Source organism: Homo sapiens, chromosome 1 (assembly GCF_000001405.40).
Source record: "Homo sapiens chromosome 1, GRCh38.p14 Primary Assembly".
NCBI classification, from domain to species: domain Eukaryota; kingdom Metazoa; phylum Chordata; class Mammalia; order Primates; family Hominidae; genus Homo; species Homo sapiens.
In genome coordinates this window covers 228,346,273-228,373,361 of record NC_000001.11, presented here as the reverse complement: position 1 = coordinate 228,373,361, position 27,089 = coordinate 228,346,273, and the positions used below count along the sequence as shown (strand labels likewise).

General features: G+C 60.1%; 1 protein-coding gene and 1 long non-coding RNA gene across 6 annotated transcripts in view, besides 5 other annotated features; one reads left to right on the top strand and one right to left on the bottom strand.

The window, feature by feature from the left end:
• The window catches only part of OBSCN (obscurin, cytoskeletal calmodulin and titin-interacting RhoGEF), a 170,833-nt gene that overhangs the window by 5,515 nt on the left and 138,229 nt on the right, over positions 1–27,089 (bottom strand). For 3 of the 4 annotated variants that reach the window (NM_001386125.1, NM_001271223.3, NM_001098623.2), the window contains 19 exons: positions 23,305–23,472; positions 22,419–22,521; positions 21,912–22,041; positions 20,300–20,411; positions 10,607–10,786; positions 8,285–8,381; positions 7,802–7,926; positions 7,176–7,288; positions 6,794–6,962; positions 6,473–6,554; positions 6,187–6,387; positions 5,416–5,476; positions 4,946–5,023; positions 4,468–4,640; positions 4,200–4,226; positions 3,268–3,420; positions 3,124–3,169; positions 2,606–2,683; positions 281–2,339 (listed from right to left, as the gene is read on the bottom strand). In NM_001386125.1, the coding sequence (NP_001373054.1) occupies positions 281–2,339; positions 2,606–2,683; positions 3,124–3,169; positions 3,268–3,420; positions 4,200–4,226; positions 4,468–4,640; positions 4,946–5,023; positions 5,416–5,476; positions 6,187–6,387; positions 6,473–6,554; positions 6,794–6,962; positions 7,176–7,288; positions 7,802–7,926; positions 8,285–8,381; positions 10,607–10,786; positions 20,300–20,411; positions 21,912–22,041; positions 22,419–22,521; positions 23,305–23,472 (4,155 nt within the window). Of the gene's footprint in view, positions 1–280; positions 2,340–2,605; positions 2,684–3,123; positions 3,170–3,267; positions 3,421–4,199; positions 4,227–4,467; positions 4,641–4,945; positions 5,024–5,415; positions 5,477–6,186; positions 6,388–6,472; positions 6,555–6,793; positions 6,963–7,175; positions 7,289–7,801; positions 7,927–8,284; positions 8,382–10,606; positions 10,787–12,111; positions 13,766–17,168; positions 17,212–20,299; positions 20,412–21,911; positions 22,042–22,418; positions 22,522–23,304; positions 23,473–27,089 lie in introns of those variants that run through there. The other variant, NM_052843.4, reaches the window with a different exon arrangement.
• Positions 2,602–3,167: an enhancer, noted in NCBI's record as "H3K27ac-H3K4me1 hESC enhancer chr1:228557896-228558461 (GRCh37/hg19 assembly coordinates)". NCBI's record gives its function as "activates a minimal SCP1, AML or CMV promoter by ChIP-STARR-seq in naive H9 embryonic stem cells {active_cell/tissue: H9 hESC(naive)}" and the evidence as "EXISTENCE:reporter gene assay evidence [ECO:0000049][PMID:30033119]".
• LOC101927401 (uncharacterized) lies at positions 2,612–16,325 on the top strand. 2 transcript variants are annotated; one of them, XR_007066914.1, is made up of 9 exons: positions 2,612–2,696; positions 4,958–5,166; positions 5,449–5,568; positions 6,560–6,677; positions 7,583–7,662; positions 10,940–11,192; positions 11,555–11,915; positions 12,363–12,472; positions 12,738–16,325. It is a non-coding gene; the product is annotated as an uncharacterized LOC101927401 (long non-coding RNA). The 2 variants fall into 2 exon arrangements; XR_007066915.1 differs by having other exon boundaries at positions 6,500–6,677.
• Positions 3,168–3,734: an enhancer, noted in NCBI's record as "H3K27ac-H3K4me1 hESC enhancer chr1:228557329-228557895 (GRCh37/hg19 assembly coordinates)". NCBI's record gives its function as "activates a minimal SCP1, AML or CMV promoter by ChIP-STARR-seq in primed H9 embryonic stem cells {active_cell/tissue: H9 hESC(primed)}" and the evidence as "EXISTENCE:reporter gene assay evidence [ECO:0000049][PMID:30033119]".
• Positions 4,381–4,948: an enhancer, noted in NCBI's record as "H3K27ac-H3K4me1 hESC enhancer chr1:228556115-228556682 (GRCh37/hg19 assembly coordinates)". NCBI's record gives its function as "activates a minimal SCP1, AML or CMV promoter by ChIP-STARR-seq in primed H9 embryonic stem cells {active_cell/tissue: H9 hESC(primed)}" and the evidence as "EXISTENCE:reporter gene assay evidence [ECO:0000049][PMID:30033119]".
• Positions 4,949–5,517: an enhancer, noted in NCBI's record as "H3K27ac-H3K4me1 hESC enhancer chr1:228555546-228556114 (GRCh37/hg19 assembly coordinates)". NCBI's record gives its function as "activates a minimal SCP1, AML or CMV promoter by ChIP-STARR-seq in naive and primed H9 embryonic stem cells {active_cell/tissue: H9 hESC(naive and primed)}" and the evidence as "EXISTENCE:reporter gene assay evidence [ECO:0000049][PMID:30033119]".
• Positions 21,697–22,196: an enhancer, noted in NCBI's record as "H3K4me1 hESC enhancer chr1:228538867-228539366 (GRCh37/hg19 assembly coordinates)". NCBI's record gives its function as "activates a minimal SCP1, AML or CMV promoter by ChIP-STARR-seq in primed H9 embryonic stem cells {active_cell/tissue: H9 hESC(primed)}" and the evidence as "EXISTENCE:reporter gene assay evidence [ECO:0000049][PMID:30033119]".

Sequence of the window (27,089 nt, the reverse complement as noted above, 5' to 3'; positions counted from 1 at the left end):
GCTTTCCCCAGGGGCATACCACCTACAGCCTCCCCAGACCTCCACCGCTATGTTAGGTCCCAGGGCTGGGTCCCAGCTGCCCTGTGGGGAGGGTTGTCAGGGCTGTAGAGGTGATCCCAAGATTCAGAGGCCTGAGGCAGGGACAGGAGGTGTGGGCAGCACCTGGACACCAGCGGGGGGCCCCTGGGAGCCTCCTGCCGTCACCTGGAGTGCAGTAACCTTAGGTACAGAATGGGGGCCCCTGGACATGCAGGATGCTTGGGGTGGGGTGGGGGTTCACCTTCCGGCCTGCCCTTCAGGATCCGGGAGATGTGCTCCACGGAGGCCTTCACTCTCTCACGCAGCCCCAGCTCTGCAGGCTCATCCAGCGGCAGGTGCCTCCCAGGGAAGTGGAAGAGGCTGCGTGACGGCGAGGACCACTTGCGCTTCCTGCCCACGGCAGCCTCTGCCAGCAGCGCGTCCACATCCTCTGACTCCTCTGTGATCTCCAGGCCTGCGTGGGGGCCCAGTTCACCTGGCCAGGGCCACGTGGGCTCCGGGAACTCGGCCAGCTCCTCCTCAGCCATGGGGGAGGGCGGCTCTGGCTGAGCGGACTTGGGGACTTTCCTGAAGATCATAAACTCGAATGGGAGGTACTTGATATCGTACAGGTCTGAGAGGTTGAGGTAGGCGGGGTCCACCTCGGAAATGTCCAGGGATATTGTGTCGGCCGCCTCCGCATCACCTGACAGGTCCCGGATCTGCACCAGGGAGACCTGCCCGATGTCCTCCCATGGGGTGGGCTCTGGAGAGCTCCTGGTGGGAGCCCTGCCGACCTCAGGCACAGGCCTTGCACTGACCTGGGGCAGTGGGCTCTCAGCCCTGGCCTCCTGCTGCTCCTCCGACTGGGACTCAGCCCTGGCCTCCTCCTGCTCCTCCTCCTCTGACTGGGACACAGCCCAGGCTATCCTGGCCCACATGGGCCCCTGCCCCAGCATGCCCCCTGCATCTCCACCAAAGGCAAAGGTGCCATAGCCAGCCACGCCTGCGTAGCCCCCGCGACCACCCAGGGAGAACTTGCGCATGGTCGCCTGTTCCTGAGGCCGCTGCAAGGTGGGTGTGGAGTCGGACAGATCCTCAGCCTCCTGGGTCCAGCCCTCCGCATCCAGGGAGGGGCCAGGCTCTGTGCCCACCTGGGAGGAGCCCACCCTGAGGGAGCTCACTTGGGAAGAGCTCGCCTGGGAGGCTGACCCTGGGGAACTGCAGGGGCCGGGTTTTGGCCTCCCAGGAAGAGAGATGTCTCCAGGCCCCATCTTAGAGTCCAATGGGGGGCTTGCTTTGGCAGGGGCAGGGGGTGCCTGGGGCTGTCCCAAGAAGGGGCTTGAGGGTACTAAGGGGGCCTCTTTGCAAGATCCTGGAGGGAAGGAGCCAGGAGGGCATGGGGCAACTGCTGGGTGGGGGCTGCAGCCCTCCTGGGGGGCAGAACCCTGCTTGGGGTGGCAGAAAGGGGCTGGCTGCCCCCAAGGGCTGTCCGGGGATGGCCTCTCTGGCTGAGCAGTGCCTGGGTGGCCACCAGTGGATGGAAGCTGCTTGGAGCCCTGAGGGTGCCCCATGTCCCTGATAGGGGCCCCCCCGGAGGGGGCTGAAGGCAGTCGCTGTGCCTCACCGCAGGCCTCCGAGGAGGGGCGGGGGGTGCTCGGAGAGTCATGTTCCAGGGAGTGGCTGTGGCCAGGGGCCAAGTGGGTGCCAGAGGCAGGCAGCCGGAGGGCAGTCTCGAATGAGGGGGCTTTGGCCAGGAGGGTGGCCTGCTCCTCCCTGGCGGCCTCCTCCTCCAGCACGCGGTGCTCCATCAGTGGCTCGCGCAGGCCTGGCAGCGCCCCCGCAATGTACCCGCCCTTCAGCAGGTGCCGCCGCCGGGCCGGGTGCCGCCTGCTCCCCGGGGCCAGGGCCCCGTGCTCAGGGCTCTCACCCGCCTGGTGGTAGAACAGGCTGCGGATGACGCTGTGCCGGGGCACGCAGCCCTGGGCGGCCGGTGGCCCGGCACCCTCGGGAGATGCAGGCGGAGCTGGGGCCTCGGTGGAGCGCTCACTGGCCTCGGCTTCCTCAGGCAGGCTGGCCGAGGGCCGCAGGAAGCCCCGGGGGTGCAGCAGTGGTGAGTGTGTCACCGGGGAGGGTGGCAGTGACTTAGCCCGGGCAAATGGGGCGAGCTCGTTGTCAGAGGAGGAGGAGGAACTGGAGGAGCCACCAGTGTCCCTGCAGAGGTGCCGGGCTACGCCGAGGGAGGGGCTGTCGGGTGGGCCCCGCAGCAGCTCAGGGATGGAGCGCATCACCAGGATGGACTTGTAGCTCATCAGGGAACGCTGGAACCGCATGGGGGGCAGCAGGCATCAGGTGGGGAGACCCAGGAGCTCTGGGGTCCTCTGCCCCCAGGGTGCAGTCATTCCACCCTCCTGCCCCATGGGATTGTGTGCACCCAACCCCGCTGTGCCCAGCAGATGACTCCTGCCTCCTTTCAGCATGCTCAAAGGAGCCCAGCCCCGCTTCCCTGCACTTCTGGGTGCGCAGCTGGCCCCGTGGGGCCTCAGTTTCCCCTTCACTGGTCCCTACTCAGATGGTCACGGCTCACCTGCCAGCGACTTCGGGCCAGGAGGAACTTGAGCTGCTTGGTGTTGATGAAGTGGGCCTCCTCCGCAGGCATGGATTTCTGGGAGACCGAGGTGGGCAGCCACATGGCAGGGAGACCATGGTGCCCTGATAGGGGCCCCTCCCATGATGGAAGCCCTTCTGGGCAGCCCCAGCCCTGGGATTCCCTGGATCCAGGACACCACAGCCCTCACCCAAGATGTCCAGGTGGGGCAGATGGCAAAGGCCAGAGGTCAGAGGTGACAGCGACCCCCTGTCCCTGAGCTCCTTGCAGTTCTCCCTGCCTCCTGCTGGGGGTTGGGGGCTGGGGCACTGAAATGTGGTTCCAGCCTGAGGTTCCCACAGCCCTCTCACTAACGCACAGGGACAAACGTCCTCTGGGCTGGGCAGAGGTCGGGCCACAGCCACAGTTCTGTGCTCACATGCCCTGTTGCCCAGAGGCCCTGCCCCTGTTGGCCTCAGGCTCCCCCTGCATAGTGTGGGGCTGACCCTGATACTCACCAGGAACCAGGGGTGGGAGAGGCACTGGGCCGCACTAGGCCGGGCCCTACAGGGAGAGGAAGGCTCAGGAGGGGCCAGGTGGTCAGCTGCCCCCGGGGCAGGGCTGACTGGCCCCGGGCAGGAGAAGCCTGGGGGTGCACTCACTGAGGGGCTCTCTGCAGCGTAGCCTTGATGAAGTCTTTGGCGTCTTCGCTGAGGTGGGCAGCCATGGGGCTGCTCCATGACACGCGCCCCTCCAGGACGTTCAGGAGGGTGGCACGGTCACTCTCGCCGGCAAATGGGGATGAGCAGGTCAGGCTGAAGACAGAGGGAGGGTCCAGCCCTCAGATGAGGCCCTGACCGCAGATGGGCTCTTAGTCCCACTCCCATCTAGCTCTGAGTATCCCAGCAAGTTTCTCTCATTTCCCCAGTGAGATCCAGGCTCAGCTTGGAACAGGGACCCAGACTGAGCCTGGGGTGAGTATCTGGGCTCAAGTAGCAGACGGGATCTAGGGTCAGCTTAAGTGGGCACTAGCCTTAGTCTGAGGTAGGGATCCAGACTCAGGCTGGGGCAGGGATGTAGGGTCAGCCTGGGTAGGCTCCAGCCTTAGTCTAAGATGGGGATCCAGGCTCAGGCTGGGGCAGGCATCTAGAATCAGCCTGGGTGGCACCAGCCTTAGTCTGAAATCGGGATCCAGGCTTAGTCTGGGGCAGGGATCAAGATCAGCCTGAGTTAGGAATTAAGGATCAGCCTGCTGAGGAGGTCCAGGCTCAGTCTATACCATACCACCATCATCCTCAGGGCAGCAGTGGCTGTTATGAGCGGCTGCTGGACAACCCCCAGTCCTGCAGGGCAGTGGTTTGGCTGCCTCGTGACCCAGCACAGCCCTCTGATGACAGGGTGTTTGTGAGACACTCCGGGCAGGAACCTCTTATCAGGGTTGGCTGACCGCCTGTTCCCAAGATAGTAGCCCCTTGGGTCTCAGGTTTCTGATATGGGGAGCAGCCAGCAGTGCACATGCCCTCGGTGGGCCTACAAGGGAGGGGTCTCATGTCAGCTTTGGAGGAGGCAGCTGATGGGGCAGGGCTCTGCTCACCTGAGGTAGGAGATGACACCCATGGCCCTGCAAGACAAAAGCGCACACTGTGTGTCACCCCAGGCCTGGCTGTCAGGTAAGAGGCACACACACAGGGAAGTGGGGAGCCCAGGGCTGCAGGAGGAGACAGGTTCAGGGAGGACCCCTTGGCTGACCAGTAGGCTGCCTGCTGCCTCCCCGGGGCAGAGGAGAGGGCCCAGCCATCTGTGGGAACTGGCTTCCCGGAGAAGTTGCAGACCCAGACCCGTTGGCCCAGCCACCCACTCACCAAATGTCGGAGGCTTCGCTCACAGGGTTCTGCTGGATGATCTCGGGGGAGACGAACTCAGGGGAGCCGTACTGGCTGAACTGCAGCTCTGCTGGGGTGATGTTCTGGGCAAAGCCAAAGTCGCAGATTTTAATGTCTTCCCGGGCAGGATGCACCATCAGGATGTTAGAGGGCTGTTGGGGAGAGTTGGGAGTGGGTGAGAGCCGTGCCCTAAGGGGGTGACTCCTGGGGCTGATAGGCCTGGTGGGGACACCCAGAGGCCCGGGGGCAGGGTGGGACAGTGGGGAGCACCCGGTGCAGCCATTTGGGGACAGCCTCTGCTCCACCAGAGCCACGCCCCACCTGAAAGGGCTGCCTAGAGGTGGTGAGCTCCCTGTCCCTGGAGGCAAGCAAGTCCTCTCAGACTGGGAGTGGTGGGCCTGCCCCACCTGGCCTGCAGGCCCCAGGCTCTGGGGTGCAGGGGTGAGGACATGCGAACCTTTATGTCCAGGTGGAGAACGCCATGGCTGTGCAGGTAGTGCAGCCCCTCCACCAGCTGCTGGATGTAGACCTTGACCTGCGGCAAGGGCCGCTATTCAGGCGGGAGCCCAGCCCCAGCCTCCCTCTCCACTTTAAGCCCAGCCTCCTCCTGGCTTCGGCAGCTGATATGCAAAGCGCTCCTGGGCCCCGTGTGCCCCTAAGCCAGGAGATCCCTCAAAGGTGGGGAGGATACAATGGACTTGTGAACCTCAGTGGGGGAGGGGCAGGCAGGGCTGGTCAGCTGGCCAGGTGAGGCGGGGTGGCAGGCTGTGTAGAGCCCAATGAGGGGTCAACACGCCCTGGGGAGCCCCAGAGGCCCCTGAGCTAGAGAAGGCTGTGGCTGGGACTGTATCTGCAGGGACCGGATGTCTGAGCGGGGGCTGGGGCAGGGTGCATGGCTGGGGCAGTGGCGGGCGGCAGCCCAGTCACCTCGGCCTCCGTCACCACGCCCTTCCTGTACAGGCGGTCCAGCAGCTCCTCGGATGAGCACCTGGGATCCCATCAAGGAAAAGCAGGCTTGGGAGGCTGAAACCTGCCTGTCCCCAGAAACCCACACTCACAGTGAGGCAGCCAGGTCTATGGGTACATCTGATCTCTGGAGGCAGCAGGGGATGATGCTCAGGGTTGAGGAGGGTGGAGCGGGGACCCCTCTGAACCCCAGATGGCACCCAGCCCTGAGGAGAGGGAGGGGCTGCAGGCTGACCCTGGGGACCAAGGCCACTCACTGCAGTGGCACGGTGGGAGGGGGCATCCTGTCCCCTCTGTACAGAGCCCATCCAGCACCCTCTCCCTGCAAAGAGGACACCGACTTTGGGCAGGGGGCCATGTGTCCAGCTGACGCCCTGTCAAGAGCACCAGAGGAGACCCCCCAAGACAAGGCCATGTGGGTGGCGGGGTGAGCCCCAGAGTAGCCGGGCCAGGCAGCTCCTTTCTCTCTAAGAGGCCATCTACAGAGTGGGAGAGGACCCCCGCCATCCCTGCTGAGGGCATCAGGTCATCAGGGCCAGCTAGCCACCAGTAGCCCCTGGGGACTCCAGTTACTGCTCCGTGGAACAGAAGCCTCCCCACCCAAATTCCTGGCTGGGTGGCTGTCGCCACCACCCAGCCAGGCAGGGGACACCGTGCACATGGCTCCTCTGAGCCCCGGCCTGGCCCTGCCTGCCCCTCCTCAAGCCGTCTCAGGGGCTGAGGGCAGGATACAGCTCCAGGATGAGGATGAGGGTCTTGCGGGTCTCAAACTGGTCCAGCAGCCCCGTGACCAGCGGGTGGCTCAGCGCGGCCAGGATGTCTCGCTCCCTGTATGCCTGGGCCCGAGTTCTGCTCCGTAGGGGGATGAACTTGGCAGCGCACAAGATCTTGTTTCCTTTGTGCTGCACTCTTTTTACGAAGCCAAACACGCCCCTAGGAAGGAGGGAGTGAGGGAAGCCCAGGTGGCCTGGGGAAAGGAGCCATCCGGCAGTCCAGGGGAAAGGGGGCTGGGTGCTACCTTCCAATCTCCTCCTTGACCTCATAGAAGGAGTGCAGCTTCCTCCGGTGGCTTTGCTTCTCTGAGTCCGGCTCATTGTCCCCTAAGGAGTGGGAAGCGGCTGGTATGGGCAAAGGTGACCACCCTGATCCCCATGGAACCCAATGCTGTGGTGTTGACGGGAGCTGCTCCATGGACCCAAGACTATGGAACCACACTCACCCAGGTACCACACCCACCCAGGTACCACCATGGGAAGAGAGGTTGCCCCATGGAGCCAAGACCTGTACCCAGCCAGCCCGGCTGCAGAGCCTGGGGCCCAGGAGGGGTAGACCAACTCACCCCCAAGCACCAGCAGCTCTGCCTTGCAGAGCACCTGGCCACCAGTGTTTTGGGCCAGGCAGGTGTAAACGCCGGCATCCTTCGAGGCCACATGCCTCAGCACCAGGGAGTATGTGGTGCCTTCTTGCTGCTGGCTAAGCCGGGTGCTGTCCACCAGCTGGACGCTGTCCTGGAGGCACAGGACCGGCAGGGCTGCTATCAGCCCACTCTGGGGGACCCCGTCACCCCACCCTTCACTGAGCAGTGCTTCCGACACCTGCTGTGTGTCCAGTCTAGGGGGGATGTGGGGGAAGTGCACGGTGTGGACTGCACCCACCTCCCGTGGGCCCCCCAGCTCCTGGGGCCATCCCAGAATCTCACCCACTTGGACCTGCGCGCCTACCTTGTACCAGGTCACCGAGGGCTGTGGGTCGCCCTCAATGATAGCCTCGAATTGGGCCGTTCCGCCTGTCTGTGCCTGCACATCCTCGATGGTTACCTGCATGGATGGGGGCCCTGGGAGGGCAGGGAGGGAACTGTGGAGACCACCTCCCCAGCCACACAACCCTGGGTGCCAGCCACAGCCTACCATGCTTGGATGGTTGGTGAGACCCTGAGATACACTGTGGGCAACTGAACACCCCCCGCAGCCCAAGCGACAGCACCCCATCCTGACCGCCCAGGCTTCTGACAGTTAGGAGTACTCCTTCAATGGAACCACTGCCTCTCCCACTCTGACCTCAGCTGGCCAGGTGATCAGAAGGAGTTGGTGGGGCCGGTGGAGCTCACTAACTCAGCTGTCGCTCTCAGGGACAGGGTCCTATGGACACCAAGTTCACCGCCACTTGCCTCTCCCCAGTGGAGGGTTCTGGCCCCTCTGAGGAGACACGGTGAGTAGAATGTGGGGGTCCCAGGCTGGGGCAGGGCTGGGACAGGCTGGGAGGCCTTTGCAGATGTGCAAATGCCCCCCAGCCCTGGGCAGGGGGCATGGGGATCACGCTTATAACCCAGCTGGGCCCAACCCCGTACGTGCGGTGTGCGTGTCGATGGCCTGGTATGTGTAGGTCCTCTGTGTGGTCTCTCTGACCACGTGGCTGTGGACGTCCCAGAGCAGCTCCCCTGTGCCTGCCCCGGGCCAGGCTGCACCCTCCATCCTGGGGTTAGGAAGTGGGGTGAGGCTCTGCCGGGCCGCCACACGTTCTGAGCAGCCAGGCCTCCCAGTGAGATAGGGGATCCCTGCTCACCACTACTCGGAAGAGGCTGCAGCAAAGCCTCTCTGGGATGAGATGTACAGATGGGGGCCCAACCCTTAGTGTGGAGGGGGCCCCCCAACACCTCTCATCCCAAGGGTGGCCTCTCCTCCCTGCCCTGCCCTGTCCGGGGTGGCTGCTGGCAAGGAGTGGAGTGAGGGCTGTGAGGCCACCGCGGTAACTCGTGCCCTGCCCTGCCTGCCCTGGGATGTCCCATGGGGGTTGGCCCCCACTGCAGGACCCAGCAGTCTGGGGAGGTTACCGAATGGGCACAGTCCATTCCTGGGCTCTGGCAATGGCCTCCGGCTCCTGCTCTGGGCCTTCGTGGAGGAGGGGCTGTGGCACCCTCGGGGGCACGGCTGCTGGGAGACAGGGCAGGTGGCTGTAGGAGTCGGGTACACGTGAGCTTCAAGCAGGTGGACGAGTGGGACGGATGCCTGCCACAGGCAGGGTGGGTGGGGTCATGGCCAGAGCAGGACAACCCATGCCCACTCTGCAGAGGCATCGGACAGAGTGAACGAGCGTCAGGCCTGTGAAGGAGCCCGCGATCTGCCCAGGATGGGCCAAACGGCACCTGGGGCAGGTTTGTCTGCTCAGCCACTGTGGCCCTGGCACACAGGCCATTGGATGTGGCGGGGTGCACTCCACCCAGGAGGCAGAGTGAGAGTGAGGGTCAGGGCCAGTCCTCCCAGACCCCCGCCCCAACCTTGACCTGTCCTTCCCTTGCAGACACCAGCCCTCGATCACTGCGGGGGGAAGGGTGACAGGCCAGAAGAATGAGAAGAGACCACTTCCCAGGGTGACAGGGATGCTGTGCCCCTTCTCCTGGGCCAGGCCCTGCACCCAGCCAGCCCCGTGATAGGTGCACGGAGCAAATGTACACCAAGGTGGGGCCTAGAGGGACGCCCCTTGGCCCTAGGTGGCCCCAGGGTGCCCAGGCAGCTAGAGGGAGGAGCCTGAGCTCATTGAAGGCCTGGGGGCTTCCGTGCCTGTTGTGGGAAAGCAGACCCGAGGGGTGGCCCTCTCATCTCATGGGGGAAGGTGGCCTGCTTGCCCCGAACCCTATGCCCCCTGGCCCTGCGGGAGGCCACAGAAGCAGCACAGGGACTATGGGACTGTTGGAAACTCCAGTTGGAGCATGTGTTTAGGGAATTAAGCGTGAGACCATGGTGGGGGGCTGTGCCCTGGAGGTCTCATCCTGCTTGGCTCCAGCCTGACGGCCTTTCTCCAAGGTGATGGGACCAGGTAGGGGTGGCTGGGGAGGGTGCATCAGGGAAGGCCCTGCAAGATGGGGTGGGGTGACCAGAGTGGGTAGACACGCAGGACGCAAGGCCGTGATGGTCCTTTGTGTGAAGATAACCAAGGCAGGGTCTGGGCCAAACAAGGAGAAGGAGAAGGGCATGGACCCGAGAAGCCTACACAAGCAGGATGCAGAGGACGCTGGACGGGGCAGGGGAGGAGTCTGGCTGCCATCCTGCCCTAGCTCTGGCCTCGCTCCAGCCCTGTCCTCATGGCTTTCTGGACGCCTGACTCCAGGGCCCCCATCCACCTGCGGTGAGCAGCAGGGCCTGGGATGAGATTTCCCCCAACCCAGGCCTCAGTTTCCCCAGATGCACCATCTGTCCCTTTAGGAAAAGGTCCTTGATCAGGGAGCTGAGGACTGGGCTGGAGCGAGGCCAGGGCTCGAGCAGGTTGGTGGCCAGGCTCACACCTGTAATCCCAGCACTTTGGGAAGCTGAGGTAGGAAAAAGGCTTGAGCCCAGGAGTTTGAGAGCAGCCTGGGCAACACAGCAATACCCCATCTCTACCCAAAAATAAAAAAGCTAGCCGGGCATGGTGCCATGAACCTGTAGTCCCAGCTACTTGGGAGGCTGAGGTGAGAGAATCGCTTAAACCCAGGAGGTTGAGGCTGCAGTGAGCTGTGGTCGTATCCCTGCACACTGCACTCCAGCGTAGGTGACAGAGTGAGACCCCGTTCCAAAGACAAAAAAGCCGTTAAAGTGCTTCATAACAGGAGACCCCCAACACCTGGGGGAAGGGGCTTAGGTGATCATAACACCTGGGGGAAAGGGCTTGAGTGACCCACAGAGCTGGCTCTTGTAGCAGCCAGTTTGGTCTGGTCTGTCTGGGGTACTGGCTGCTTCTGCCCCTCCCTCCTCCACCTCCTCCTCCTTTTCTGTCTTCTTCCCCCTCTGCCCCTCTCCTCCTCTCCCTCTTCTCCTCTCTCTCCTCCTCTCCTTTCTCACCCCCTGCTCCCCCTCCTCCCTGTCCACTGAGGAGCACAGGGCACCTGAATTGGCCATCACAGGCCAAGCATGGGAAGCCTCTGGCTCCTGGAACAGATTTAGAGCAGGAGGAACCTTCCAGAACCCATTCTGTGCCAGATTCAGATGGGGAAACTGAGGCCAAGCAAGAGGTAGGCTTTGCCCAGGACCCCCAGTGCATGGAGCCACTGGGATTCCAAATCGGGGTCACTGGGGCCTGGCCAGTTAATGCCCATGGGATGGGCACCCCTCATGTTGCACAGCCAGGGTTGGGGTCAATCCCTGGGGGTCTTTGTCATCAGCATGCATCTGGGCCTCACCAGGTGCCTCCGAAGTTCCGGTGACTGGGGGCTGGGAGCCGGTTTCCTGGAGTGCGGGTGCCCCCCTGGGGCAGGGGCCAGGGCCAGTGAGGTCCCCTGTGGAGGGGCCTGGCGCCTTGGGGCCCAGCAGTCTCTTCAGGACAGATGTGACCTCCTGGTCCGCTCGCTCCAGGGTGGTGTCTGTAGAAGGGGCAAATGAGTGCAGAGGGGGTGAGGCCCAGGGGTCTGGGATAGCTGCAGCCTGCGGAGGGGTCTCCAGGAACCCCATCCCCCTCCTCAGAGACCGCCCAGGTGGGCCGACACTGGGCTGCTCCCCACCCACTCCCCTCTCAGGAGGCTGCCTGGAGGTGGAGGCCTGGGACACAGAAAGGAAAAAACCACAGACCCATGCTGCAGGCAGGCACTTCCTCCTCCTAGACCCCCCGCGAGCTCAGCCTCGTCCTCCCCGGGAACCTTCGGGAGAGTGTCGCCACCTCCAGGGAGCAGCCAGGCCTGGATACCCACCCCAGGCCCTGGCTCTGCCACTGATCACAACCCCCCACCAGGGCTGGCCTCTCCTCAAACCTGGGCACAGCCTAGTGCCAAGGTGAGAACCAGAGGAAGCTTGGGTTCCGTGGGCGTCCAGGCGGCCGTGACTGTGGACCCTTCCCCGGGGATGGGCCCTCCCTCCCAGGGCAGCCCCTGCCTGCACCCGCCTGTCGGGCGTCTTTCTCTCCTCCACCTGTGACCCAAATCTGCCCTACCCTCCACCTGCAACCCCGGCCCCGGCCGCCCCACCTGGCCCCTTGCTGGCTGCAAGAGACTCCTGCAGAGCCCTGCTGGGCGTGGTCCCCACTGGCAGCTCCCCCTCAGCAGCCTCCCCGTCCACCTGGTCATCAGCCAGGCACCTCACACGTGGGTCCAGCAGGTCACCTGCCCCAACCCTCCCGCCTTGCTTGTGTCTTCAAGCCCTTGCTGAGGACCCCTGCTGCATCCCCAGTCGCCAGCCAGGAGAGGACACCCGGGCTGCTCTCTACACTGCCAGGGCACCCTCCTCTCCACCCTCCTCACTCCAAGGCAGTCAGCAGGACCCCTGAGCCAGCCTCGGGGCTGGAGGGCTTCGGGTTTTACGCTAATGGTGCTGGGATCGTCCGGCCAGAGACAATGAAGTTGACCCCTGATGCTGAGATCCTGAGCCCCACGGGGTCACCACATCCCCACGTCTGCCATGACAACAGTCCCAGCTGCCCAGGGCTGGGGAAGGCCTGCCTGGCACCCCGCATACCAGGAAGGAGCATGATTGGCTGTTCTGGCCATGCCATGTGCCCCTGTGAGTGGCCCCTCCATGATGGGAACCAGCTGCCGCAGGTCCACTCAGGGACCCCAGGGTGGGCCGGGACTCCACAGGCAGTGGCCAGCCAGGGGACCTCACAGTCAAGGGCAGATGAGGGTAGGGGCTCCCCTGAGGGCTGCAGGTAGAGGGGACCCAGGGCTGCCCAGTGGAGAGGCAAGGAGAATCAGAGAGGTGCACAGGAAGCTGCTTTATTCTTGCTGAGAGACAGGGGCTGCTGCCCACACACAGACCCTGTGTCCACCCTGCAGAAAAGGCCAGGAGGGCCTGCAGAGCTGGGAAGCGCCACCCAAGGGTCTCAGTCACCAAGACTGCAGGAGAGGCAAGGCCATGTCAGGCCTGGCAGCTGTGGCTGGGGCCAGGAGGGAGGGACCAGGCCCATGTGGGAACAGGACAAATGCCCAAGGCCACATCCTTCGTCCACAGTCCTGAGGCTCCTGCCAGGCTGACAGGAAACAGCCCAGAGCTGAGGTCTTTGAGCCGGTCATTCCAACATTGCAAGCACCACCCAGTCCTCCTGGCTGAAGTTGAGTGAGGTAAGAAGGGCCCGTGGCCAGGGACAGGGAGGGCCCTCAGGAGGCTCCCAGGGCTGCTGCTGAGGCCGGGCAGCGTCCTAGGCCTCAAGGACACTCCTTTCTCCCCGCTGCCCCAAGCCACCATGGCAGCAGCATCAGGGCTGTGCCGCCTCATCCCCATCCCTGTCTGGGCAGATGTGAAGGGTGACCGTCTCCCCCACTGTCCCGAAGTTGACGGTCTGGGTGGAAAGCTCTGTGGTGAAGCTGCTCTGGCCACTGTCCGCAGAACGCCGGATGCGGGTGCAGAAAGACTGCGTCCAGGGAGCACTGCCCACAGGCCGAGCCGGGGCCTCCCGCAAGAGGAAGGAGGTGCCCTCAAGGCTACGGACCTGGGGTCCCGGTGGTGACGCCCCACGGGGCTCAGGCCTAAAGAGGCCGAGAGGGCCTCGGGGACCCAGTGCATGCCCCACGCTGAGCAGCACAGGCTGCCCCACCGTGGGCTCCCCGATCTCTCTCTGGATCACCGAGACCTCGCAGGGAGGGTCATCAGGGGCGCCAGGCCCAGGGCCACCACAGTGGAAGGTCTCCCCTTCCCCAGGCACGTAATCTTCCAGGTCAGCCAGTGTCAGCATGCGGCCGTTGTGCGTGAGGATCTTGGGGTCACGATCCCCAAGGCTGTGTGTGTCCTGGGACTCCTCCGTCACAAAGGCGTCTCCGTCTTCCCCCTCTTCCTCTCCCGCCTCCTCCATGGTGCCCTCCTCCTCCAGGCTGCCCATGCCAGAAGCAGCCCAGTCCACACTGCCTCTGGCATCCACGCGGAAGACAAGGGGCTCTCTGACGCCGACCATGGCTGTGCCCTGGGCCCAGGCCTCCTGGGCCAGCAGCTTGTTGTTGGAGTTGTTGGAATTGGGGTCCCCTCCGGGGGTCGCACCGGGCAGTGTGAAGAGATGCCCCGATGAGCTCCTGGGCACCTCTGTGGTGGGAGACACACCCTGCGGGCCCATCTTCTTCACCCGGACTTCAATGGTCTCCTCCACCTCCACCCACTTGGGCTGGGGCCCCGAGAGTCCGGGCAGAGCTGGAGAGTGGGCCTCGGCCTCCGTCACATACAGTGTGGGCACCACGGGCTTCTGGCCTGGTTCTGCCTCCGGCCTGCGGGGCTGGCCAGCACCTGGCAGGTACAGCAGGTCGGGGGCCAGTAGGCCTGGCCTCAGCGGGCTGGCAGAGCAGCGGGAAGGTGAGCGGGAGGGGGACTTGCTGGGGGACCGTCGTTGGCCACGTGGGCTCTTCACCACAGTGGTGATGGTCTCTTCTCTGGGGGAGGGAGGAGAGGGCCCGAGAAAAGATGGGCACAGCGCCCAGGATTGCCAGGGCAGCGTGAGAGCTCAGGTTATTGTACCAGCAAGCCAGCAGTGAGAGTGCACAAAGAACTCTTACACATGCATGTGAGCCCAACCTACAGAGTCCCCCACCCCCTGCCACAGAACTAAAGAAACAAAGCACAAGGTCCCATGTGGCCAATCTGTCTCTGGTGTGCAGATCTGAAAACAAGAGGTGAGGTACGTGGGGAGGCCCGTGCCGCACTGCATAGGCAAGCGCCTCCAAAAACCGGGTCACATCCTGATTGCAGTGGCCCCGGTGCCCGTCTCCCCTCCAGGTCCATCCCACCTTTGTGCTTTGTATCACGGGGGATGGTGCGTGGCCAACTCTCAGAGGGCAGGGCCTGCACACCCTGAAAATCCTCAGCCAGGGACGGGCTGGACAGCTTATGCCGTGGGGGTGGGGTGGGGGCTGAGCTCAGACCTGTTCTCCTGGCCTTTGGGTCTGAAAGTGTGAGGCCCAGAAAGGCTTTAGGCAGGCCAAGGGAGAAACCTGGCTGATACGTGGCCCCAGACTTGGCTTGGCCATGATGAGCCGTGTGACATCAGACAAGCCCCTCCTCCTGCCTGGCTCCATCTCCCAAAATGGGATGGGGGAGGAGTGACGGAGGCAGAATGCAAGGTTGGCTGTACGTGGCTGTGCGTGGGGCACTGGCTGGGAACTTTGCAAGCTCTCTTGTCTGACTCTGCAGTAACCTGGGAGAGGGTCTGATCCCACTTTATAGGGGACAGAGAGGGTCAAAGAGGCTGAAAATCTGCCTGGGGCCAAGAGGGAGAAGCAGAGCAGTCAGCCCAGGTCCTCCTCTGGTGCCCGGTGCCCCTGACCTTGCTGAGCACTGAGAGCAAACTGAGTTAACACGTAGGGAAGCAGAACGTGCTGAGTAACACACAACACATACCAGTTCCCTGCCTGTTACTCATTTTGCCCTCAGCCTTGCACTTCCCTCAGGCTCAAGACAAGGGATGTGGCATGTATGAGGTGACAAAGTCGTCACCAAGTGAGCTACTGCCAGCTGTCTGCTTTGTCCAAAGTACTGTCTCTCTCTCATTTAGTTTTGCTTTCATCTAACTCAGGGCTCCATCTGGAAGCAGTTGCTCCCAGGCATGAGCCCAGAGATGTGTGACCACCCCTTGGGGTGCACAGCAATGACAGGTCCTGCCTCCTCCAGCCCTCAGCTATTAAGGAGGGAGTGATATATTCCACTTAACTGATGGGGAAGCTGAGGCTCAGAGATGTGGCCCACTTGTGCCCACAGGCCTGATTTCCTGCCTCACACCCAGGCTCTAGGGCAGTAGGCTTGTTGCTGACAGCCTGGGCCTAACCCCATCTGCTCACCTCATGTTGCCTGATCTGCTGATGCAGGGTGGTAAGTTGAGTGCAGCCCAACAGGTGGATGGGGACTCCTAAATATCCCCCAAATGCTGGACTCACTGCCACCCCCACAAGGACACATGGGCATCCTGTACTGAGACTGCAAGCACAGCATATGGGGTCTGTCTCCAAGCCCTGTTTCCTTCTCAGGCCTACTGCCTCCCCAGTGCCTCTGCCTGTGTGGTCCACCCTTGGGTTCAGCGCTATGCCTATGCAGTTGGCTCCCTCCAATCCTCAAGCTGAGTGGGTAAATTACGCTTTGCAGAGTGAGGGTTGCCACCTTCCTAAGCCTGGAACAGACTGGACTTGTATGCTTGTAAATCACCTGGTCCTCCTTTCCCTAGGCGTGAGTCGCCTCTGAAGCTTTGCCAGTGGGGCATTCTGGCTCCATCTCTGCTCCTCCATTTTCTTATCCATAAAATGTAGATAATAATAGTGCTCCCAAAGGGACAAAATGTAGACCTACTCTATGTGAGGCTCTGGCACCGTTGCATACCTCCAGGAGTGGGGTGCTCACCAGCATCCAGGCAGCCCCATCTATTGTGGGGTGGCATCATAGGAGCAACTTGTTTTAGGGGAGGAGGGAGAAAGCCAAGGAAGGGTTAACCCAGGATCTCAACAAATGTCTGGCAATGGGATTTTCCCACAATACGGCCAACTGAAGGCCCCTTGAGAACTAAGAGTTTTCCCATCCTGGAGCTTCTCAGCCATCTGGCCTTAGGAAACCACAGTCTTTCCTGCCTCCTGGCTTTTGCAAGCTCTTCCATCACTCCCGCCTGCACACACCTTCTATTGGAAGTCCTCTCAGATTATTCAGGTCAAAACCAACTCTACATTTATGGGTTCACCCAGTTCTGGTCCTCTTGTGTTACCTCAGCAGCAGCAGCATGTGTGATTTTCCTAAATCCTTGAGGCACTGAAGGATGAAGAAAAGGACAGTGGGTGTGGCACTGGGGAAGTGGCTTCCAGTCATTAGCCACCCAGAGCTAACCTCCTCTCTTCCCTGAACTTCAGTTTCCCCATCTTCCAAATGTGAAAATCGGGCTTGGGGACCTCTAAGGGCCCTAAGGCTGTGCTGTCCACTATGAATGCACTATGTAAATTAAATTCAAATGAACAAAAATTAAAATTTAAAATTTGTCCTTCAATCACACTGGACAACATTCCGGATGCTTCAACAGACGCAAGTGGCTAGTGGCTACTGTGGTGGACAGGGGAGATATAGAACATTTCTTTTTGTTTTCTTCGCGACAGAGCTTGCTCTATTACCCAGGCTGGAGTGCAGTGGCACGATCTTGGCTCACTGCAACCTCTGCCTCCCGGGTTCAAGCAATTCTCCTGCCTCAGCCTCCTGAGTGGCTGGGATTACAGGGGCCCGCCACCACACCCGGCTGATTTTTGTGTTTTTAGTAGAGATGGGGTTTCACCATGTTGGCCAGGCTGGTCTCAAACTCCTGACCTCAGGGGATCTACCTGCCTTGGCCTCCCAAAGTGCTGGTATTACAGGCCTGCGCCACTGCGCCTGGCAGATATAGAACATTTCTGTTACCACAGAAAGTTCTGTTGGACAACACTGTCGTAAATCCCAGGGTGCTGAGGATTAGAATTCTGTCTCTGGCCCACTGAGGAAAGCAGGTCTCAGGCCTAGCTCCTGATGAACCCCTGGATGAACCACTGTGAAGTGTGTGGAATAAGTCTACTCTGCTGAAACAGTGGGACCACGGAGTGTACTGAGGCCCTGGAAGAGAGCGCTGTGAAGTGTGGAAGTAATCGAGGCCCCAGGGGAAGGTGCCTATGCAAGGTAACTGCAAGTACCTGTAAGGTGCTGGCAGTCAGAGGGTGCATGTTATGTGAGCAGACAGGCAGCAAGCAGGTGGCTGGGCCACACAGGCATGATCCAGGCAGGTCAGTGGCATGCAGGAGGCACTGCAGTCAGAAGGAAGGTTAGGAACACGCCTGCACTTACATGATGACGGTTTTCTTGGGGACTTTAGTCTCTTGCTCAGTGACTACAAAGAAAACAGTCGGAATAGCGAGGGTTACAGACCAGCCAGTGCTAGGGGCTGAGCTATCGGAGTGGCACAGCGTTGTAGTCACCTGCTAAGCTGCCCCTGGGCAGCCTGTCTACTCAGAGCCCCAGTTCCTGGGCCTCTGACATGGAGGTGACGATGCCTGTCCTGAGTGGCTGCGGAATGAGGGCTGAGGACAATGCTTCCCCTCGTGAAGGCAGGACCCACTGTCCCTCTCGAGGGTCTTGCAGGGACTGGGGGGAGAATGAGGACCCTACCTACGCTCCCTGCACAGAAATTCCAGCTTCTCCTTCAACCCATGTGCCAAGGGAGCCCCGTGAATTTGTCAGACCTACAATCCCACTTCTCAGACATAGAAACCGAGTCCTAGAAGGGAATAAATGGCCTGTGGCTGCACAGGGAGCCAGCGGCCACACTGAGGCTGAGGCAGCTGGGGACTCTGTTACAAAAAATCCTCAGGAGAGAGGGACTCTGGAGTCCTGAAAGTGGCACAACTGAGCTTTGTGGCGCAAAGCCACAGAAGTCCTACCAAGAACAGCCCCAGGGGATGCCTGGGCAGGGTGCTGAGCTCTGAGTGAGCGTCAGCCCAAATCTCCCTATAGGAGCATCCTCAGTCCACACACTCCATGGTCTCTCCAGGTTTTCCTAGCTGCCTCCCTCCCCAGAGCCAGCAGGATGGGGCCTGTGGTTCCAGTGATCGGATGGGACGCATCTGGGATCAGGCAGCTCCTCCTCCCAGTCACCTCAAGGACTCTCCCCTGCAGCTCCCGGGCAGAATCATCAGGGCACAAAGATGGCCCCCTCCCAGCCCAAGCCAGCTGGCCAGCGGGCAGTCCACGGGCCACCAGCACCTTCACATCTCAGTGACCCTCCCCAGCACCCTGAGGGAAAAAAACGAGCAGGAGGCCCAGAAGTCAAGTGACGTGGCCTGGGGCACATGGCCTCACAGCTCCGGGTCAGGGGGTGGGACACCATCTGCTTTGCTAGACTGCCATGTGGAGAAAGGCTTTACACCTGTCTCAGGTGAGGAGCACGTGAATTTCAGGGACTGCCTGCGTCTATATGTGCACTTGGGAGCCACAGTACTGTGCATTTCTGTGCACACACATGTGCAAGTGTGTGTATGTGCACAGATGTATGTGCATGCATACGTGTGTGCATGCACGTGTATACATATGTGTAGGTGTGTATTTCACAGGCTCCCCCTGGAGAGAGGAGAGCCCATGTGAGGAGAGAATGAGATCCAACCAAAAGGCTCTGTGTGTTTAGACTAAGCTGACCCCAGAGAAAGCCAATGTGTCCACTACCTGCAGGCCAGTGATGGGAACTGCACAGAGTGATGGGAAAACCCGGGGCCTCCCCACTCATCCTCCCTGCACTTGGGGCTGACAGCCAGGCACCTCTGGGCCCATACACTCTCTGGCACCTTCATTCATGGACCTAAACTGTCACCTGATCGGCTGTGGGCCAGAGTGAGTATTTGCGACTACAGGAGGGATGCAGCCGTGCGCAGCATGATTCACAAGTGAGGGGGCAGCGCCCACCCCGCAGAGGCCTGCCAGGGCCTGTTTGGGCTGCAGAGCTGCTGGGTTAAAGATGAAGCAGCAGGATAGGAGTTAGAAGCGGGGAGGCGTTGGCTCCAGCTCCAGGCTCTTCAAGGACCTGCATTCTCACCTTGCTGAGGCGCTGACACTCTGTCCAGCACTGGTGGCCTCTCTCCCCTGCCACCCCCTCCTCCAGACCCAGAGAAAGACTTGTTGTGACAGCCAAGTGAACGACTGTGGAGGACGCTCCTGTCACCAGCAAGAGGCAGCCCTGGGTGTCCCAGCTGGCCATGAGACACAAGACTCATGGGAGGCTGAGGTGCTGGCGGCTCCAGAAGCAGTTCTGTGTGGTGCTATGGCCACCAGTTGTGGGGCTGACGGAGGTCTCAGGGCCCCCAGAGACACGTCAGACATGGGGCACTCACAGTCGGAGGTTGGCCAGTGCCAGTGGCACCGTGTGGGCTGAGGAACAAGGACCTCTGCCCAGCAGGGGAGGGGTCTCCCTGAGGGTCATGGAGGGCATCAAAGATGGCCCAGCTCTGTGGGGTCCAGATGGGCAACTGGCTTTCAGACACTGGGCACTGGGAGAGACAGTTGAGGTGGGGTTGCAGGAGCCAATGTTTAAGACTTGGAGGACATGTATTCCAACCACTCCCACAGTGGCAGCTGCAGCTCTGCCAGGTGTTGGGCCAGCCTCCACTTGCATGTCCCCAGGGATGGAAGGCTCAAAACCTGTCCAGACGGGCAGCTCCAACTGGGAGCCCAAGACGGATGCCCGATGACCCTCTTCCCATCCTGGCTGCCCCTGCCCTGAACAAAGCATCCGGGAGCCTGGAGAAATGAGGTGATGTGCCCCACCTCTCCCTCCACCCCTTACCTTTCATCCCTAGTGAAGTCATTCTGCAGCCCAAGGCCCTCCCAGGACCCCAGGAGCAGCCCCAAACCAGGCCAGGTATCTCCACAGCCAGCCCTACCCTGAATAGAGGGGCCAGGCCCCTGACACTTGCTCCTTCTCCTGGGAGCCAAGCTGGGGCCCAGCGGCCTGGCCCTCTGCAGAGATGTCCTTCCTATTGTTCCTGCTGCAACCTCCCCACTGCCTTAGGCCCACCGCCTCCTGTCTGCCACCGGCGAGCTGCCCTGGGTGTAGGCCTGGCCTCTGCGCACAGGCTTCCCCTCTCCGGAACGCAGCGGCTTTGGGAACCCCGCCCACCCAGAGTGACCTCTCCAGCCTCCATCCAAGCCCTGGGCTCAGGGGCTACCCTCCACCAGCCCACACAGGTGCTGCCTCCAGCAGGGGGCTGGGACCTGTGCCTGGCCCACAGCAGCCTCCCCGTCTACCATCTGTGGCTCTCCCTGCCCCACGGTGCCAGCCCAGCCCCTCCTCCAGGGTCCTCCAGGCAGCAGACCCTGACTGGGAAGGGTGAGAGTCTTGTCCTCCTGGACACGGCCAGGCCTGTGAGGGTCCAGCCTGGGTCTGGGCCGTGGGGAGCCGCCTTGGTGGCGAGGACAGGGGTGGGACTTACCTTCCACTGCAGCCACGAGCTGCTCCCTGTGACACTGCTCCTGGGCCTGCAGCATGGGGCTCTGAATGCGCAGCTCCGCACTAGCCCGCGCGGAGCCCAGCCGGTTCACCAGCTGCAAGGACGGCAGGGCCGGCTCAGAGCCCAAGGCTCCCCACGGGTAGGGCCCTCTCCCTGTGGCCATGTTGGGAGCACGGGCAGCCCCCATCCTGGTGTGTCTCCCACAAGGGGAAGGGCCCCAGCCCCGCCACAGCATCCCTGGGGGACCCACACGGCCTTAGGGCCCCCTGCAGTGATGAGGATGCTCTCCATCTGCCCTGTCCACGTGCGGCTCTGAGCATGGGACATGGGGCCAGAGCAGCCAGGGAACTGAATCTTTAACTGAACTTAACTTCATTTTATGTATTTTTTAAAGCTGGGTCTCGCTCTGTGACCCAGGCTGGAGTGCAATGGCACGATCTCAGCTCACTACAGCCTTCACCTCCTGGGCTCAAGGGATCCTCCCACCTCAACCTTTCGAGTAGCTGGGATCACAAGTGTGCACCACTGTGCCTGGCTAATTTTTTAGCTTTTCTTTTTTTTTCAGAGTCAGGGTTTCAATATGTTGCCCAGGCTGGTCTCAAACTCCTGGGCTCAAGTGATTTTCCTGCCTTGGCTTCCCAAATTGTTGAGATTACTGACGTGAGCCACAGCACCTAGCTTTGGATTTAACTTTAGTTGACTTAAATTTAAATTTAAATCCCCGTGTGTGGCTAGTGATGGTATCAGACAGTGCAAATCAAGAGCTCACTTGGGTCTCTGGCTTCTCCAGCCAGAGTGGTGTGGGGCAGGCTCCCCACAGGCTCACAGCAGCAGCCACACGGCGGGAGGTGGTGGCCGGACAAGTGCCCCTGGAGGAACTGGACAGAAGCTAGCGCCTGGAGCCTGGGGCACCCGTAGTTGGCACACAGCCACCACGACCACCACGAGCACTGCAGGCTTTGAAGGACCGGAGGACTGGAACTGGGCCTGGGCCCCACCCTGAGGAGCCCTTGCCCCGGCCCTGCAGACACAGTGGCTGGAGCAGAAGGCAGCTCTGTCCACCCGTAGGCTGGATGTCTCCACAGGTAAAAGGTACCTGAGCAGGGCCGGGCTACACTGGATGACTGACACTCCATTTGACACGAATGACAAAATTCATGAGGCCAGCCGGGTCCCCCAAAGGCAAAAACCAAGCGGCATCCTTGAAATGGCCAGGGAAGTCAAGGAAGGCATCCAGATTGACATGGGAGCAGAGAAGAGGCTTAGAGGCAGAGGAAGAATGAGGCCAGGGCATGGGGCAGTGGTGTGGCCAGGGATGACAGTGACAGTGGCATGGTGGCCCCCGGCCTGTGATGGGGGGTGACAGTGGCCTGGTGGCCCCCGGCCTGTGATGGGGGGGTGACAGTGGCATGGTGGCCTCTGGCCTGTCATCAAGGGTGTAGCAGCGGGTATGGTGTCCCCTGGCCTCTGCCGAGAGCCCCCTACCTTGAGGACAGGGACCGGGCTCTTAAGCCCCTCCACAATCAGACCCCAGAGGATGGCCAGCAAGGATGGCCTGGGTCCCGAGGCCGGTCCCCACTCCTGCACTCCTCACCTCACACTCGTAGAGCCCCAGGTCCTCCTTGCTGGCCGCCCGGATCACCAGCACTAGCAGGCCGCTGCGAGGCTCACTCAGTGTCTGGAACTTGTTGCCAGTGGTCAGCAGGGCCCCGTCCTTGTACCACCTGGAATCCACCCGGAGGGCACGTGAGGCAGGACTTGGGCCATGCTCTACCCCGCCGGCGACATCCTCCTATGTCCTATCTCAGGGCCACGCCCAGCTGTGCTACCTGTGCTCACGACCCGGTTGCCCTGCCCTCAGACCCCAGGGGTCCTCAGAGAGCCCACCCTTCCAGAAGCCAAGACAGAGCCTGGCCGTGTCCTCCCGGCTGAGGGGGGCCGCACATCCAGAATGAACCAGAGCCCCACGAAGCCCATTCTCAGCTGAAGGCCAGTGGCCATGTCTAGCCCACCCTGACACGGGAACACATGGCCCGTGCCCCATGCTCCAGGTGGGAGCCGACCCCCTCATGCCCCATCCCCGGGCAGGCCTGGGCCCCACCTGATCTGCGGGTACGGGGCGCCTTCGATGGTGCAGGTGAACTGGGCGTCCTCTCCCTCCACAAAGGGTGAGGCCCGGACCTTGTTCACGAACCGTGGTGGGACTGTGGGGTTGTGGAGGGAAGAGACAGAGAGAGAGACAGATAGAAACATTAGAGACAGAGACAGAGAGACAGAGACAGACACAGAGACAGAGATAGAGACAGAAAGACTTACAAAGAAAGAGACACAGAGACAGAAAGAAAGAGATGGAGAAACAGAGAGACAGAGATAAAGATACAGAGACAGAGAGACAGAGAAATATAGAGACAGAGAGAAATAGAGATAGAGAGAGACAAAGAGACAGAGATGGAAAAACAGAGACAGAAAGAGACAGAGAAAGAGAAATTGAAACAGAGATAGAGACAGAAAGAGACAGAGACATAGACACGGAGACAAAGATAAAGAAACAGAGACAGACAGAGATGGAGAAACAGAGAAACAGAAAGACAGAGAGACACACAGATAGAGATGGACAGACAGAAACAGAAGGACAGAGACAGAAAAAGACATACAGAGACAGGGTGACAGAGACAGAGATCAAAGGACAAAGACAGAGATAGAGACATACAGACAAGGAGAGACAAAGACAGAAAGAGATAGATACAGTGCATCAGACACAGAGACATACAGAGAGACAGAGAGATGCCATGATGGAGCTGAGAGTGATGCCAGGGAAGGGGCTGCAGGATCCCCACCCCTCCCAGTGCCCTCTATGATCCCCCAATGATCCCCTCAGAACATGGTCAGATGTGTCCACCCCACTGTCCCACCACCCCGCCGCAGCTGGGCCTGCCATGGTGGGAGGCTCAGGGCGGCTCCTCCCCCAGGAAGGCCTTCAGGCTAACCTTGCACCAGGATCTTGCCCAGGGTACTGCAGTTGCCAGCGGCGCTGGCCGCGAAGCACATGTACTGGCCAGAGTCCACACCGGTCAGGCTGTCCAGGATGAGTGCACACGAGCCATCAGGGTCTTCAATGAGGATGTGGTGGGGGTCCACCTGCACTGCTTTCCCATCTGGAAAGGACGAGCGGGGGCCGTCACCCAGGTGGGGACCCAAGGGCTCACCTCATCAGCGGGGAGAAGCTGGGCCTGGCCTGGGGGCTGCAGTTATGGTCGGGGAGGGGATGGAGGGGCCACGCTTGTAGCACAAGGGCCAGGCACAGGCTCCCTGCCAGGTCCAGCTTCCAGGCTGACCTGCAACCCTGGAGGGAGAGGCTGACACGAGCTCACCTTCTCTCTGTGTCTCTGCCTCTCTATCTCCATCTTTCTTTGTCCCTCTGTCTTAGACTCAGTTTCTTTCTTTGTCTCTATCTCTGTGTCTGTTTCTGTTTTCTGTCTCTATCTCTCTTTCTGTCTCCTTGTTGTCTCTGCCTTTGTATCTCTGTCTCTGACTCCATGTCTCTGTCTTTGTCTGTTTTTCTGTCTGTGCCTTTTGCACCTTTCTGTCTCTGTGTCTGTCTCTGTCTCTCTGTCTCTCACTGTCTGTCTCTTTCTCTGTCCACTTTGGACACTAGCTAGAGGCAGGGGGCAGGCCAAGGGACCTGAGCCCCACAGAGAACATCCTCTATGGGCAGCTGAGTCCTTGGTCACCCCAGCTCTCAGCAGTCCTGTGATACTCTGAGGACCTCTAATGCACTGACTGCACCCCAGCTCACAGCACCTTGATCCCCTCTTCACCCCTGCCTGCCCAGCCTAGGGCCTGCAGCCCCTTCTCAAAATCACTGCCCACAGCCCTCCATGCCTCCTCTCCCTAAACCTGCCCCTGCAGAGGACACAGCAGCCCAAAGTCTCACCCTCAACTCCACTCTCCTCTCCCAGGCCACATCCTCGTGCCTCCAAACGCACGGCTTTCTAATACGAAAATCTGAAGACTGAAGAATGTGAAGTAAATCACCCTGGTATGAACACACAACCGACTACACCTCTGGCCAAGGAATGCTTCCTTCCCGGGTGAGGGATGGGAAGGCACGGCCTCTCACTGTGGAGAACTCCTTCCCACATAATGTCTAAATACATAAAACGGCATCGATTCACATTCCAATAGTGCCGGGTGTGCCCCACAGATTGCTTAAATCACAAAGGTCACAACCAGCACCGACTTATGATTTGTATAGAACTATAAGATATATATACATTATACACACACATACACACACACACATATACACATATATATTTGTGGAGACGGAGTCTTGCTCTGTTGCCCAGGCTGGAGTGCAGTGGGGCCATCACAGCTCACTGCTGCCTCGACCTTATGGGCAAAAGTGATCCTCCCGCCTCAGGTGCACCACCATGCCTGGCTAATTTTTTAACTTTCTGTAGAGACAGGGCCTCACTCTGTTGCCCATGCTGGTCTCAAACTTCTGGGCTCAAGTGATCCTCCCACCTTGGCCTCCTGAGTAGCTGGGACTATAGGTGTGAGCCACCCCACCCAGCTCAGAAATAATTTTAAATAATTTTTTTCAAAAACCTTCTGGTTACCACCTCAGATCTCCACACCCCTTTATGGCAACTCCAGAAAGGAGCTGTGCTCACACCCTCCAAGGCGTCTCTTCCCATCCCCACTAAGCCCATCCCCTGGGCCCCAGTTCTCTCCCCCAAAGCTCCTGTCAGGGCCGCCACGCTACCAGCAGCTCTGTCCTCATCTTGCTGTGGGAAAACAATTCTCCCTGGAATTCAGATTCCACATTTCAGCCCTCTGAGCAAAGGCACTCACAGCCAGGTTTAGAATAGAAGAAGAAGAAGAGAGTAGAGTAGAAAGTAAGGAGAGTGAAGCAGAAGATGCCCATCTGCCTGGCTGTGTTCCAGGACAACAGAGACAAAACCCTTCCATTCCTTTCCTGGGAGACATTTCTGCATCCCAGGGTAGGAAGTCACCCCCTATCTCTGGAGTGAAGCATGGGCAGATATACCAGCAGCCGCATAAAAAGAGCTCCATGTCTCCTAAGATTCACGGTTTCTCTCTCATGGGACAACCCCTGCATGCAACTAACACCTAGCTCCATCACCTCCTCACAGAAACGGGTGGGGGCAATGATGAGAGACACTGAGGCACTGCTGGTAAAAAGTCTTTGTCTCTGACCCATGAGTCTTGTGTCTTTTGTCTATATCTGGCTGGCAGGCTGGCTTGCAAGATTGCAAGTGGGGTAAAATTTTGGGCCCTTCACAGTTTTTGGTTTACAATTTTGGGGACAGGGAAGTGACACTGTCAGAGGCATGGCCTTCTGGAAGGGAAAGAAGAAGCGGCCCTGTGGATCTCTTTCTCTACTTTGTTGCCCTGCTAAGGAGAGAAACTAGGCAGGTAGTTGCATGCTGAGCACTGAGAAGTGGGTTCAAACACAGACACCTGGGCAGTGCCTTGGTTGGCACTCTTTCTCCAATCCCTGCCAGGGACTTTGCTGGTTCAGCCTCAGTTCAGCCATTTCACAATAAATGCCAGAGCCAGCGCTGGATCTGAGGAAGATTCTAACCCTGTTCAGACCACAGCCACGGACACTCGTGCCTGAACTGAGTGCTTGGGGAGGGCCACCAGCAGCCACGATGGGCAGAGGCAGGAGAGGGCTCAGCCCATCTAGGTCTGGCTGGTTTGGAGGGGAGAGGATGGGCACCGAGCCTGCACTAAGGAAGAACGGCCACAGCTTGGGCGTCTTGTGGAGCAGCCTCCTGCATCCACCATGCTGGCCTTCCATTCTTCTGGGGGTGACAGTAGAGGATCTCTGTGTTTGCGGTAGAGACGGGGTCCTACCTCCATGGTTGGCTGAGCCACAGAGGGGTGCCTTGTTCCGTCATTGTCCTCTGACCCCTTCCATCCCCTCTATACCACAGATCCTTTCCTGGCTCAAGCAATTTCCCCGAGACAACAAACTCCCCCAAGGGAAGGCAGAGGGGACACGGCAGGGAGTGCATGGACTCCTCCCGCTACGGCCTGCCAAGCAGCCAGGATCACAGTCATGCGACACCATGCCAGGATCAGAGATAATTTTAAATAGGCTGGCAAGTTAAAGACACCTCTTCCTGGGGCAATGAACAATGAAGTGAATCAAGGCTGCTGATGGGGACACCCCGGCCAGACCGCCAAGGCTCCTGTGCAGAGCCCCCAGGACACCACATCGCTGAGCCCCACCACAGGCAGGGCACAGATGCAGAAATCTACATCACATGTCAGACTGGGGACATCCTGGAGAGACATTCTCAAGCCTACAGGAAAGGAAGACACAGTACACATGGTGAACCCACTCTCCATCCTGGCATACCGCTCCTATGAACCCAGTGTTGGGGCTCAGAAAACAAGACCCCAAAATGAGGGCTTCCCAAGCAGCCTCAGAAGCAAAATTTTATCTCTGACCTTCTCCTCCCCTCCTGTCTCTAGCCCCTCATTCTCCTCCCAGGCTGACATAGAAACAGAATCCCTCTTCCCCAAGGTGGGTCATAGAAACCAGGACACCTTTTTCTCTAAAGCCAGCCAGAAAGCCTAAAAATAGGACTCCAATTTTCTCTCCATCGTTCTGTGTAAAACCTGGCCATGAAGAAATGATCTGACCTACTTTGTTTGGCTGTGGATCCAAGACCCCCATTCCAGCAAGGGTCCTGCTTCTCACCCAGAAGAAAAGGGCACTGCTCAGAAGGCCAAG